This window comes from Homo sapiens, chromosome 20 (genome assembly GCF_000001405.40).
Source record: "Homo sapiens chromosome 20, GRCh38.p14 Primary Assembly".
NCBI lineage: Eukaryota > Metazoa > Chordata > Mammalia > Primates > Hominidae > Homo > Homo sapiens.
The window spans coordinates 20,798,119-20,813,775 of record NC_000020.11 but is presented as its reverse complement, the minus strand read 5'-3'; the positions used below and the strand labels follow the sequence as shown (position 1 = coordinate 20,813,775).

The window sequence follows — 15,657 nt, the reverse complement described above, 5'->3', positions numbered from 1 at the left end:
TCCTTGCTTATCTGCTCTTGTGTTAAGGAAAATTGAGAAAATGAGTTTGGACATTTGAAAATGCAATAAAGTAGCTAGATGCTGGCAACACACAAAAAGGTAGGAGCTATTATCCCAGTATTGGTCACAGCGAATGCACTATTCATTTTAACAGAAAAATTATATGCTGGCTGGGCGTGGTGGCTCACGCTTGTAATCCCAGCACTTTGGGAGGCCGAGGCGGGCGGATCACGAGGTCAGGAGATCGAGACCACGGTGAAACCCCGTCTCTACTGAAAATACAAAAAATTAGTCGGGCGTGGTGGCGAGCGCCTGTAGTCCCAGCTACTCGGAGAGGCTGAGGTAGGAAAATGGCATGAACCTGGAGGCGGAGCTTGCAGTGAGCCGAGATTGCGCCACTGCACTCCAGCCTGGCGACAGAGCCAGACTCTGTCTCAAAAAAAAAAAAAAAAAGAAAAATTGTATGCTAGCGTCTATGAAAACACATGAGTTTAGGTTTTCTTACCAGTTCATGGACGATTTTCAGTGCATTGATAACCATGTATTCTCTTGAGATAAACGTTTTAAAAAATTGAAGCCATTAAAAATATTAAACCTTCCCTTTTTCCTCTCATTATTCCCAAATCTCAATAAACCATTGCTTTGTATAAAGGAAACTCAAAGCAGATAAATGGTGTGTCTCCTAAAACTTTTTCGGATGGAGTGCCAATGTTTTGTGGAAATGGGGTTATAAGTGCCTTGTCTGGGTTTCTCAGTTCTAAGCATCGTCTACTCTCCAAATTGGGGTAATACAATCTGTATCCTTGCAATGAGTTTATGATGTTCATTGTCCTCATTAAACCACTATTACAAAATTATAACTGAGACAGTAAAAGAGACCTGACCTAATCAACAATATCTTGCTTCTAACCTCTAAGCTGCCCTTGTTCATTCCCGGGCATAGGCCAAAATAACTTTGGGAGAAACTTTGTTTACAGTTTATAGTTTAAAACAAAGATGATAACAGCCCTTTCCCCACACAAACCTCCTTCTTTCCTGGAGACTAGACTGCCTTTGTAGGACTAAAAAATTAGCCAAAATATTAGAAATTATGGGTTAGGAGTCATGCAGCTCAAGGCTACAAGATTCTGACCCTCCCCAAATTGCTCCTGAGGATAACCTTGAAGCAGCTACGTTGTCTGGGGTAAATACCCGCGGTTTGTCATCTGGCGCCAAGAAAATTTAGGACACTGACACACACAAAAAGTTTAGGAGCGAAGGTTTAATAGGCAAAAGAAAGAGAAAGAAACAGAGAGGAACATAACTCTCTCTCTAGCAAGAAAGAGGGGACTTCCTAGAGGAAAAGGCAGGCTGGCGGTGGATGTGCTGGATTTTATAGTCAGGCGCCTAATTTACATAAGGCTCACAGATTGATTCCATCAGTTATGACATTTACACAGTATGCGAAGAAGGCTGGCTGCCCCACACTAATCTTATTATGCTAATAAACTTTCTCCTTGGCTGGCACCATCTTGTCTGCTCCTTACTGTACACGTGGCTGACAAAGAGAAGGAAGATGGAGCCACCATCTTGAACATGATTGGCACAAGTGCTGGCATCTGTGTCTGCTCTTTTTGTTGATTTTACAGGCTGTTCTTTGTTAGAAAGGAAAATAATTTGGGGCTGCTTTTCATTAAAAGGAAAACCTTACCAAGGACTTCTGTACCCTCACTTATTTTGCAGACACTGCACTTGGTGGATCAGCAGGCACCATCCAGATCGATAAACTGGCTCATCTGATCTTATGGTCTGCACCCAGGAACTGACTCAGCCCAGGAGGACAGCTTTGATTCCCTATGATTGCATCTCTGACCCAACCAATCAGCACTCCTGACTCACTGGCTCCACCACCCACCAACTTATCCTTAAAAACTCTTATCCCTGAATGCTCAGGGAGACTGATTTGAGTAATAATAAAATTCTGGTCTCCCAAACAGCCGGCTCTGTGTGAATTACTTTTTCTCTATTGCAGTTCTCCTGTCTTGATAAATTGGCTGCCTAGGCAGCTGGCAAGGAGAACCTGTTGGGCAGTTACACTCAACACCGACTCTAGATCTCATAGGTAGTCAGAAGTAGAACCAAAGAGTCTGATATCAGAACTTACATCCTTAAACCTATGCAAAAATGCTGGGTGAAAGAAGCAATAGTTCTGGATGGTACACTTTCTTTGGGAGGAAGTAGAAGATGGATCATTGGAATGTGCCTGTTGGTAAACCTGGATGGGAATTTGGTAGGAGTCCCGATTGGAGAGTAGCTCGAGCTAGGACTGAGAAATAATATGTGATGTAAATGCCAGAAGGGAAGATTGGAGTCAAGTCTGGAGATCCTTCAATGCCAATCATATCCATTAGCAAGTGGGTTAGCACTTTTCATAGAGATCCAAATACTGCAACCTAAATATATTAGGGGGTTATTCTCTTACAGAAAACAAGCCAGGAAGTCAGCCCTCCAGTGCTTTAGGGACCCAGACTCTTGCTGCTTCTCCATCCTCAGGGTCACAGGTTGGCACAGGAGCTCCAGCCATCTTTGAAACTGCCTTTGAAAAATTATAACAGTGAAAAAATTATGACAGTGAAAGATCTGACCTAACCAACCCTCAGCTTGCCTTTAACCTCCAAACTGCCCTTAATCACTCCTGGGCCTGGGCCAAACCAACTTTGGGAGACATTTAATTTATAGTTTAATGATAATAGCCCTTCCCCAAACTAAACTGCCTTTGGGAAGCTAATGAAAGAATCAGATCAGGAGAAAGAGGAGACTGGATTCTGCTAAGGTGTAGACATAAATGATTATCAGCCATTTTTCTGGAGGTCACAAGATTTGCAACTCCCCAATTATTCCTGCAGATAACATCATTATTGTAGAACCTAAGACTGGCCTTTTGGGATATCTTTTTAGTTTTTTTCATTTCTGAGGATGATGGCTCCACCTGAACCTGCCAAACATCCTGTGGCCTCACTCAGAAGAGGACCACTTTCCACACCTCCATTCTCTTGCCTGCCAAACTTTCAGGGAGATTGGTTTGAGTAATAACTCCATCTCCCACATGGCATGGCTGGCCTTTTGTCTTTCTTTATGGCAATGCTGTAGTCTCAGTGAGTTGGTTTTGTCTGTGCCATGGGCAGGACTAACCCATGGGGCAGTTACATCTTGTCTGCATTCTAGGTCCAATTCAGAGAAGGGAAGAGTGAAAAGGTGCTAGGTCATATCCCTCCAGCTGAGTCAGCTCTGCTAAAATAGCTTATTATGGGAGTCCCAGTGACCTTGTCTTGTTAAAAGAGAAAGTTCAGCCGAATTAAATTTAAAGGAGTTTAATTGAGCAATGAATGATTCATGAATCGGGCAGCCCCCAGAATCAGAGCAGATTCAGAGAGACTCCAGGGATGCCTTGTGGTCAGAACACATTTATAGACCAAAAAAGTAAAGTGATGTACAGAAATTGGAAGTGAGGTACAGAACTACTTGGATTGGTTACAACTTGGCGTTTGCCTTATTTCAACACGGTTTGAACACTCAGCAGTGTGTGACTGGTTGAAGTACTGCCTCTGGGATTGGCCAAGACTCATTGATTGTTACAGGTGCATACTCCTAAGTTAGGGTTTCAGCCTTGTCTACCTAGTAAGTTAGGTTGAAGTTCATCCACAAGGACTCAAATATAGAAGTACAGAATTCTTCTCAAGACTTATTTAGTTTGCTTTAATAGTCTACATCTCATAAGTCACCCCTGCCTGCAAGGGAGGCTGGAAAATGTCATCTTTTAACTGAACATTGCTTCCTAGAACAAACTTAGTGTTCTAAGGCAGAAATGAAGAAAGGTTGTTGGATAGGTGATGTCAACTTCTCTAGCCTGAAGAGTGTAGACTATTTTCTTAGGCCATGGGAAGTCGTTGGAGAATTTTGAGGAGAGAGGTGATGGAGTTAAGAAGATGAAATTGACAGAAGTGTGTGAAAGCAAATAGATCAAGCAGAGGACGATGTGCATGGATATGCACAGAAAGTGGAAGAATAGTCCAACCTACTCACAACTATCTGGGAAACAGGCATTTGGATGGCCCAGCTTCAAGAAATACCTTTCCCAAGACAGGTGCGGTGGCTCATGCCCATAATCCCAGCAACTAAGGAGGCAGGAAAATCACTTGAGACCAAGAGTTCAAGAACAGCCTGGGCAACATAATGAGATGCCCATCTCTGCTAAAAATAAACATTTAAAAACTAACCAGGTGTGATGGCATGCACCTGTTGTCCCAGCTATTCAGGAGGCTGAGGCAGGAGGATCACTTGAGCCCAGGAGTTCAAGGCTGCAGTGAGTTATGCTTGTGCCACTGTACTCCAGCCTGGGCAACAGAGCAAGACCTCTTCTCTAAAATAAATAAAATTAAAATTTTTAAAAAGAAATACCTTCTCTGCGGCACTTGAAGTTGCAGGTCTGACAGCTAACTGAATCTTTTTAGATTCAGTATGAAAACTGATGTCAGCTTTCATGCAATTAGCAACTTTATCAAATGCTTTCCTTCTAGAAAGCTGCTCTAAAGCATTTTCTCTCCTGTCCTTTGCATTCATTCCAACATTAATATAACATTTTATAATTGAATAATATTTCAAATCCTTTTAAATTTGAACTATGTACAACTGGGCTGGGAAATGTTGTCATCCTTAGGATGTCAGCACCAACTTACATTGAATTTATAGTCACAATCGAATAGGCATTTATTTTTTTATTTTTCAAAAAGGAGCCTTGCTCTGTCTCCCAGGCTGGAGTGCAGTGGCACGATCTCAGCTCACCGCAACCTCCACCTCCTGGGTTTGAGCAATTCTCTTGCCTCAGCCTCCCAAGTAGCTGAGGCTACAGGTGTGCACCACCACACCTGGGTAATTTTTTGTATTTTTAGTAGAGATGGGGTTTCACCATGTTGGCCAGGCTGGTCTCGAACTCCTGATCTCAAGTGATCTGTCCGCCTCAGCCTCCCAAAGTGCTGAGATCACAAGCATGAGCCACTGCGCCTGGCCTCAAATAGGCATTTATATCAGTGAGATGTTCGTGAGCTTTATAACTCAAAAAACAAAGCCCAAATACACTAAATAAACTCAGCAATAATAAATAAAGAATAAGAGCTAGTGTGCACATAGTGTATAATAATCATGGTAGAATCATTGTTGATCTGATGTGACTTTTGAATATAGTCATTATAATGCTTATGAACTTCTTTTAATGGCTACCTGGATTGGACATACTGGGATTTCTGAGATATTTCAGTGGTTTATGGAGACAAGGGGATGGAATATTTGAAATTAGAATTGTTCTGTAAATGGCATTGACTTCCTGCCTTGGTTATCCACACTATGAATATTAAAAATCACAGGGTTTATATTTGAACTACAAATATTTTCTTTTAAAAAGGGACACATAAGTGGTATGATCTATCTTGTTGTCATCGTCCTAAAAGTTGAAAGACTACTGCTATTGCAAGGAATGGCTTGAGATGGCCAGTTTCCAGGCCACAAAACCCTCTGAAGACTTTCAGGGACCGAGTTACAGAGAAACAGGAACTTCTATGTTAGCTGCTTAGAGAATGCTAAAAAATACATACGTCCATGAGATACCTCCTGTTTCCCACTGACTTGTTCTCTTACCTTAGTAGGACATACTTGCTTTAAAGTCCATAAATATATATTATCTTTTGTGGTTTAAAACTAGTTTTCAGCTAGGCACGGTGGCTCACACCTATAATACTGAGGTGGGAGAATCTCTTGAGTCCACGAGTTTGAGAATAACCTAGGCAATATAGCAAAACCCCATCTCTACAAAAAATACAAATTACCTGGGTATGATGGTATGCACCTGTTGTCTCAGCTACTTTGGAGGCTGTGGCGGGAAAATTACTTGAGCCCAGGAGGTGGAGGCTACAGAACCATGATCACACCACTGCACTCCAGCCTGGGTGGCAAAACAAGACCCTGTCTCAAAACAGGACAAAACAAAACAAAACATAACAACAACAACAACAAAAAACTAGTTCTCTTATGAAAAACTGAGATTCTACTTCTGAAATGCAGATGTTAAAACTGATGCTGTCAGGGCAGGAAGTGTCTCCTTTTGTAGAAGAGTTCCATTTTAAAACAGAATCTCCCATCCCAAAGTCTGCACTACCTGCAGAGGAAGGAAAGCATCACATAGCCATGTAATTCCATGTGACTGTAGAACATTAGCAATTCCATAAGCACCTGTTTTTTAGGAATCACTTGGGAAGTTTCTATCTCTCAATGTGCTATGCAAACCTGTATCCCCTTAATTTTGTCCCTCAATCAAGAATTTACCCTCCAAAGGACATCAAATTTTTTGCTGTCATAGCAACTCTTCCTGGCATCTGAACCCACACCAGCTTATGCAGCCCAACTCTTTGATGGAGTCTAGTGGCTAGTGCATGCAACATCCCATAATGCCAGCAATTGTTCCAGCAGTAGATGCCCCAGCCATTTGGGTCATCTCTTCAGTGGTATGTTTTAAAAATATTCTTGACAGATCTCATCTCCTTTGTACAAAATTGTAAGCAGGAGCTTTTCTTGGTCCACACAGAAGGGTAGGAAGCTACAAAATAGAGATGATTGCAGTTCATTACTTCAAATCATACTGCATTTACTCTGTGGGGAAGAATTTTGGTTTGAGTTGGGCACTTTGGCCTCTTTTTAATTTGCTAATTACCAATATTAAATGCTTCTCTTTGATAGTGAATTTCTGGCAAAGCATCTGTTTTCATTCTGTGAACGATTGAGGATTATAAATTCTGAAATCTCCGTAGATGGGTTAATGATGTGCTAACCACGGTTTCACAGGGAGACAGATGGAGGCAGTTCCACAGCACAAGCAGCTGGCGAGGCGAGGGTCTGGACTGCAGGGCCTGGTCCAGGGGACTTATCAGAAATCACAACAATAAAAACATAGGTCTTCATTGGAGTTTGACAGTGATTGTTATTCTTTCTAACAGAGCGATAACTTGATTTGCCTACAAAAAAGTGCATTGTCAAGAACAAATCTAGCAGAGGTCGGGTGAATATTTGGTGGCCGACTGTCAAGGTCTCCTCTGGCTTCGCTCTGCCCATCCCCCATCACATTTCTGCAAATTCTCCCTGCAGGATGCCTTGTTCTTAAGGAATTCAGGTATCACAGGCGGCATCCTTTAGCTTCCTTGTAATATCAACTGACCCCTCTATAAAGCCACCCCAAAGGGAAACCAGGGTGCTCACCATACATTAGAGAGAGGTAGTTCTAATACAAGTTCCCTAATCTTCCTTCCAACCAGATGGCTGCCCCCCAGACCCCGCCTATATGGAAATTTTGGATCAGTTGCTGTTTAGAGGATTAAGTTTATCCCAAACAGACAGAGAGGCTTCTCCCTACATCACAACAAAGCTGGAGAGGGAACCAGCACAAGGACCAGGCCCCTGCCAGACATCTGGACTGCAGGAAGTCTGCTCCTCTTTGGAAACCCATAGAGAGCCAACCAGCCTTTAAGTGCTTTATGAAGGCGAGAGCTGTTGTGTGGAATGTGAGGAGCAACCCTGTCTGACTCTGCCAAAACACCTAAAGGAAAGGTTTGCCCCTGGCCAGGAGTAGGTACCAGGCAGAGCCATAGTCAGCCTAGCCACACAGCCTCCGGCCTCAGCCTCCAGAGACAGGTACCCAGTGGAATTCCTTGCCAACCCTCGCCGCATTAAGTGGTGATGGGAGATTTGGTTGTCCTACCTGCAGTGCACACTTTGGAGAACAATAGGAGTAAAGTACGCAGGAAGAACCCCAGACCTGGCACATGCTACCTGGGCGCTGATCCTGAGACGGGGTAGGGAGATGATTTGGGCCCCACCCACTTGTCTCTCACTGAGGACGTCTACTACAAGCTGGTGACCGGGAGGCCCCAGGGCTGGAGGGAATCCCAACGAGGCCATCCAGACCTTGCCCCATAAATCCTGCTCAAGGCGCCATACCTACAGATTGAGGGACCTGGAGGAAGCTAAAATAAGCAGCTCCCACCTTAAATCTTACTCAAAGGAGTTAACCCTATTGCCTGCATACCCACAAGGCCAGAAGAAAAACTGACCCTTAATCTTAGCTTCATTATAACACCAAAAATCACACCCGGGTAGAGATTTAACATCCTAATGAGACGTGACACAGGAAGAAGTGTATTTTCATCTGCACGGGTGCTAAGCATTCCCGCCTCTACATGCCTAACGCCACTCCTTTCCCGCTGTGGCCCCTATAAAAATGCCTTTCCAACACCCTCCAGGGAGCCAGCTAGGGAATCCTTTCCCTGAGCTGCCTCCCTTATGCCTGGGCACAGCCCCATAAAGCCTTGTTTGGGAAAGCTCTTTTGGCCTCATGACAATTCCTATTGCATTGAGAGCCCAAGAACCCGTGGTGGGTAACGATCTGACCCAGCCGCCATGCCAGGCATGGGGATACAGCTATGAAAGGGAACAGTCCCTAAGCTCAGGGAGCTCATAGGTGGAAAGGGAAAGGAAGCACTGAACAGTGTGGTCAACCGAGATAGACAAAGCCTCGGAGGGAGTGTTTAGCAGGGGCTCTGCAAGAAGATACTGTGGGCCACATTCTCTTGGCCCACCCGGTGCTCACCTCCAGTTGGTGGGCAATTTCTATGCACACTGGGAGCTTCCTACTTCAAGAATATGCCAGCCTCTCCCTTCTTCTCTACAGGAGGACTGCAGGGAGGCCAGGAAGTGTTGAGCACTTAAGGCCCCCAAGACAACATTCGACCAGTTGGTGAGTACACGCCGTGGCTTCCTCCCCACTCTCTGGGGCAATTCTGATGTGTGCTCCACTGTCTCCCAGAGGTCCCTGGCAGCAGTGAGCCCAGCGGCCCTCTGCAGTAACTCACTCATGAGCAAACCCTTTATTGACTTCCCTGCCTCACTTCCCCACTCTTCACAGGGCTTTCTGGGTCACCTCCCAAGTAAACCAGTTGGCTCAAACCCTTGTCTCAGGCTCTGCCTTGAAGGAGAGCCCAGGCTAAGAGGAATCTGAGACATCACATGGCACTTTTGTGCAAATTAGAAGATAGTCCCTTTCCCCCCACCCCCTGAAGGAGGCAGCCCGGGGCAGAGTATATCCAGCAGAGAGTGACCCAGCCTGGATGTAACCATCTTTCTCCAGCTACCTGTAGGACAAGCACCTTTCAAGTAGTGCCTGTGGGGTTCTCTGACACTTCCTGACAGCCAGGCCTCAGCAAACACATCCCTCGTTTCCCTGAGATATGAAGCACAGATACGTGGTCTCCTATACAAACTCCTTAGGCCAGATAAGTATCAGAAATTGAACAGTTCATATCCCATATTTGACATATCACCCCTGGAAGAGTCTGGGACCACACTCCCAGTTTAATCAATCAGTTTAAAATTTCTAGGACAGGCATGGTGGCTCACGCTTGTGATCCCAGCACTTTGGAAGGCCGAGGCAGGAGGATCACTTGAGCCCAAGAGTTCAAGACCAGCCTGGGCAACATAACGAGACCCAGTCTACAAAAATTAAAATTAAAAAAATTTAAAAATAAAATGAAATACAATTTCTGCTTCTGCATGTTTAACATAAGGAGTCTGCCCCGACTCTCCAAAAACTGTTGGTTCTCAGATTTCAAATGGCAGACAAGGGATTGTGGCACTGTTTAATGTCCTGTCCATTCAAATCGTATGACTCCAAGGCCCACTTCATGCCCCTCCTCTTTCATGACCTCTTCTCTGAATTCTGAAGGACTCACGGGGCTCATGATCTATACCATAAAATAAAGCACTACCAATGCAGTACTCTTCTCTATTTTCTTGTAGTTTTTCCTGCATTCGTTCTGTCTTCTGTTTCAGTTGCATAAGTCCTTGAAGGTAGAAATCATGTTTTATGTAGGATGTTGGATTGGACAGGATTTGGGGTTGTGTGAAAAACAAATTCAAACCAGAGTTTTAAAATTTTTTGGCAGGATGCAGTGATTCATGCCTGTAATCCCAGCACTTTGGGAGGCCAAGGCGGGTGGGTCACTTGAGTCCAGGAGTTCGAGACCAGCCTGGGCAACATGGTGAAACCCCATCTCTAGAAAAAAATACAAAAATTAGCCAGGTGTGGTGGCTTGCACCTGTAGTACCACCTACTTGGTGGGGCTGAGGCTGGAGGATTGCTTGAGTCTGGGAGGTGGAGGTTGTAGTGAGCAGAGATCACCACTGCACTCCAGCCTGAGCGACAGAGCGAGACTCTGTCTCAAAAAAAAAAAAAAAAAAAAATCTGAATTTTTGCTTTTGTAATTGAAAAGTGCAGAATTAGCCTTTGATTCAGGTCCAGATGAACTCAGGCGCTCCACCAATCCATTGGGGCTCTGTCTTTTGGTTCTTTCTGTGTCTCTTTTTTCTGTCTTTGCTCCTTCTTTCTTGGTGTTATTCTTGGCTGGCTTTCTCCATGTGGTAGCCCCAAGAGACACAAAGCTTCCAGCAGTTAGCTGAGCAATCCCCAGGGAGAGACAGCTTCTGTGTCCTGATATTTTCACAAAACTCCCACCAAGCCCTCTTATTGGCCAGCTTGGCCCTGACGCAATCTCCTTGGCCAAGGGTGGTGGGCAACCAGTGCTTTCGGATGCTGTTGGTGGAATGCAAAATGATACAGCCCCTAGCAAGGGGCAATTATATATATGTGCATGCTCTGATCCAGCAATCCCACCTCCAGGAGTCTGTCCTACAAGTACAGTGCAACAAACAGCATATGTATGCATAAGGCGATTCATCACAGAACTTCATCATAACAAAACATTGGAAATAATCAATTGTCCATCAACAAGAGATTGGTTTAATCAACTGTGGCACATTCATACAATGGATCTGCTAAAGGGAGTGAAGAATATTGTGATGGTTAACTTTATATGTCAACTTGATGGGACCCTGGGGGGGGCCTAGATATTTGGTCAGTCATTTTTCTGGGTGTTTTGGATGAGATTAGCATGTAACTCTGTAGGCAGAGTAAAGCAGATTACTAGCGCTAAAGTGGGTGAGCCTCAGCCAATCAGTCGAAGGCCTAAACAGAACAAAAAGGCTGGCCCTCCCCTGCATAAGATAATTCTGTCTGGCATCCTTTGAGCTGGGATGTTAGCTTTTTCCTGTCTTTGAACTGAAACAATGGCTCTTCCTGAGTCTTGAGCCTGCCAGCCTTGGACTGAAACCACACCATGATCTCTCCTGGGTCTCCAGCTTGCTGACTCACCCTGCAGACCTTGGAACTTGTCAGCCTCCATAACTGTGTGAGCCAGTTCCTTGTAATAAATATCTTTCTATGTATACATACGTACACATTGACACAAATATATACAACTATATCCCTTGCCCAACACACATCCTATTGAGTCTGTTTCTTTGGAGAAAGAACCCTGACTAAAACAAAAATCAACATTTACCATTATGGAGTAGTCTCCAGTATACTTCATTAAATGACACAAACAAGACAGAGAGAGGTGTATGTGATTCGTTAGCATATATAGATTTTGCTTACATTTTTTAAAATGGAAAGGTAAATAAGAAAAAATCTGAATGGTTATCTGTAGGACACAAGGAAGAAGAAAGTGAAAAAATCAAAGATTTGGCTTTGGAAACTCACACACACACACACACACACACACACACACACACACACACACACATACTAGGCAGCATCTCACTCTGCTCACCCAGGCTGGAGTGCAGTGGCACGAACACAGCTCACTACAGCCTTGACCTCTCAGGCTCAAGCAATCCTCCCACCTCAGCCTTTTGAGTAGATGGCATTGCAGGTGCTTACCACTATGCCCAGCTAAATATTTTTTTTAGATTTAGGGTCTCCCTGTGTTGCCCAGGATGGTCTTGAACTCCTGGACTCAAGCAATCCTCCTGCATCAGCCTCCCAAAGGCATGAGCCACTGCGCCTGGCTTAAATAAATATTCTTAAGTGATTATAAAACAAAATCAGATGAAGTATTTCTCATATTATACTTTCCTAGATTCAAATTAGGAAACCTGGCCTGATGAAGTATGTCTGGGACCCCCCACCCACCAACTGAAAGAGGTCGTCTTGAAGCAAGACAAAATTTTGCATTTTCTAGGATAACGTGAAGCTGTGCAGAACCAATGGGACAGAATTTTTGGCATTGGGACAGTGTGAGCAAATGTGGGGCCTTGTGGTTGCTGCACCCTTTGAAGCGCTCAATAACACTTCCTGATTAAATAAATGTGTCAATCAATTAACCTACATAGGGAGGCTGATATTGCTAAAGTTACTCAGCCTGAAACAATGAGAAACTACTCAGATTGCTATAAAACTATACTATAGATGGAAAGCATCCTCTTATAGGCAAGAAATGGAACAAGGCATGAAAAACAGTAATCCCAGGCAGCCTTGTGAGATGGTGAAAATCTACAAGCCAGAAAAATGTGCACATCCAGGGACATTCAGTCAAGGTCTGAGAAAGAATCTAAGGATTCGAGCAAGGACTTGTCAAAACCTATGCTTCATTTTTGGAGCAGAACAAGCTCAGAAGTTCACATCATGGAAACTGACACAATCTCATCTGAGAAACTGGGCCATTTTAAAGTACTTTGCATCCAACTGCTCAAATTGTGGGCTTTCGAATCATGAGGCTGCAAGGGACTAATCTAACTTATGTGGTAATCCATCACTCCATGTAACAAAATATTTCATGATAAATCACTAAAAATATCTGCTGCTTCATTAAAAGAAGACCTCTATTTGATGATGCGTGCTCAAGATGAAAGAGAAGCAGCTTATGATGGACATCCCATCCTGCTTATCCACAGCAAAGCTGGAACAGGGCCAGGCACTGTGGCTCACGCCTGTAATCCCAACACTTTTGGAGGCCGAGGCAGGTGGATTGCTTGAGCCCAGGAGTTTGAGATGGCGAGACCCCCATCTTTACAAAAAATACAAAAATTAGCCAGGCATGGTGGCATGCACCTGTAGTCCCAGCTACCCGTGAGGCTGAGGTGGGAGGATGGCTTGAGCCCAGGAGGCAGAGGTTGCAGTGAGCTGAGATTATACTGCTGCACTCCAGCCTGGGCGACAGAGTGAGGCCCTGTCTCAAAAAAAAAAAAAAAAAGAAAAAAAGCATAATAGATGCAGTCAATGTACCATAAATGCAAAAATCCAGCCCCCTCTGTCCCTCACAAGTGGCTTTAGATGATTATACCCCAAGAAAAAAACAAGTCAGGCTTGCTTCTGGCATTGTTTAAGTTCATTTGTACTCTGTGATTACCCTCTGGGTCCCTAGACATCGCAAGCATTATCAACTGTGCTGAACTTAAATATGTCAGTATAAGCCTGGCTGACTCTACAACCCCAGCCACAGGGATCGGCAATTCCTTTGCAGGGAAGCCTAGAGGGAGAGGCCACAGAGGCAAAATCTTGGTAAAACAGAGTGGCTCCCATGGCCCTCTCCCTAGTCCCAGCAAAGGTTCCATTTCTTTGCCCCTGGATGAAACCACCCTGAGGCATATCCCCGGGAGGGGGGAAATTGTGCCCTATTTCCAACAATAGTAGCTGCCTCTCTAATATACCCTGTATTGGCTGCCTTCCCTCCTGGATCTCACTTCCCTGTGTCCTAATTGGTACTTCCTGGAATAAACTGCTTACACTCAAATGACTTTCTCAGGCTCTGCTACTCAGAACCCAAATTAAAACAGTCCCAGATATCTACAAACCTCTCTGAGCCCAGAAGCTCATGAGAGGGAATCCAGGCTGTCTTACTAGAGGGTTGTGCTGGAAGAAGTGTCAGTACTGCAAGGAATCGAGCCAGAACCATGGAGACAGAAACAGCAAGGCCAATGGGCAATATGGTGTCTTCATTCTGTTGAGTCGATTGCAGACGGAGAGACTGAGATTTCACGTGACTGACTGCAGGTGCACGAGTGAGCCCAGCTGAGACCTGCTGAGCCTGACACAGCTCAACAGAACTGTAGCCTCCTGAGCAATAACAAATGGTGGTTGTTAAGACCCATGAGGTTTGGGATCATTTGTTATGCAGTAATTGATAACTGCTGCAAGATGCTTGCTTTTTCATGTTTCTATTAAATAACAGGGAAAAACTGCCCCCGAACTGTTAATAAACAAGGCAAGAAAATCATGGAAGGATAGCCCCATTGCCTCAAATGAGAAAGAGAGTGGAGATTAGAGATTGCAATTGGCCTGCAGCTTTTAACTAGAGGCATCAAAGGACTCCAAATACTTCCTTTCTTTTTAATATGTTGTTGCTTGTACTGGGACAGGCCCAACTGCAGGTACCAGGCAGTGCCTTCTCTATCACCCTCTCCAAATATTCACGCTAAGGCCCTGAGCTGTTCTAAATAACGAAATCACCTGCTTTCAGGCAGAGGGTGAGAAAATGTGTCTAGTGTTCAGGCTATGCTTGGTGCTGCACCGTGTGGCTCACAAAGGCCCTAGAAGCCTTGAGGTAGAATTCAAGGTGACCTGGTGTTTCCAACTCACTGTGATAAGAAGAACCAAAGGAAGTTCTGGACTAGAGAAGCAGCTCCTAAATTAGCAGGGACTCCAGAAGGCAACACACCAGCCTGGGAGGACCACTCCCCTCCTTCAGCTCTCAAAATGACCCTTGAGGCACAGAAAATATTTGCAAGACATATAACCAGAAAGGATTTGTACCTAGAGTATATAAATAACTCCTTGCAACTCAATAATAAAAACACAACCCAATTTTTAAAAACTGAGCAAAATGTTTGAACTGGAGCTTCACCAAAGATTTTTTTTTTTTTTTTTCTGGAGACAAGGTCTCACACCGCACTCCCAGGCTGGGGTGCAGTGGCACCATCATAGCTCAGGGCAGCCTCGAACTCTTGGGCTCAAGCAATTCTCCACCCTCAGCCTCCCTAGTAGCTGGGACTACAGGTGCTCAGCGCCCACTTGGCTAATTTTTAAATTTGTGTGTGTGTGTGTGTGGAGATGGGGTCTCTCTATGTTGCCCAAGCTGGTCTTGAACTCCTGACTTCAAGGGATCCTCCCACTTCAGCCTCCTAAAGTGCTGGGATTACAGGCATGAGCCACTGTGCCCAGCCTCAAAGAAAATTTTGAGATGGCTTACATATACATGAAAAGATGTTCAACATTATTCATCATTAGGGAAATGCGAATTAAAATCATACTGAGATAGCTCTACAAATCCACAAGTGTTGGCAAAGATGTGAAGCAATTAGAACTCCCCTAGTCTGCTGATAGAAGTGTAAAATCATACAAACACTTTGGAAAATAATTTGGTGGTTTCTTAAAAAGTTAGACATACTTCCCATATGATCCAGCCCTTTCACGCCTAGGTATTTACCTAAGAGAAATGAAAGCATTATTTCCATACAAAGATGTGAACATGAATGCTCATGGAACCTTTATTTGGAAAAGCTGCAAACTAGAAACAATCCACATGTTCTTCAACAGATCATACTACTCGACGGTGAAAAGGAAGCAGCTGCTGATGTCCACAACAGCGATGAATCTTAAAATCATGATGGTGCATGAAGGCAGCCATGCTGTGCTGACACATATTGTTTCCCGGTATATAAAACTCTAGGAAATGAAAACTAATC

General features: G+C 44.3%; 1 annotated feature.

Moving 5' to 3' along the window:
- Positions 7,685-8,185: an enhancer, noted in NCBI's record as "H3K4me1 hESC enhancer chr20:20786234-20786734 (GRCh37/hg19 assembly coordinates)". NCBI's record gives its function as "activates a minimal SCP1, AML or CMV promoter by ChIP-STARR-seq in naive H9 embryonic stem cells {active_cell/tissue: H9 hESC(naive)}" and the evidence as "EXISTENCE:reporter gene assay evidence [ECO:0000049][PMID:30033119]".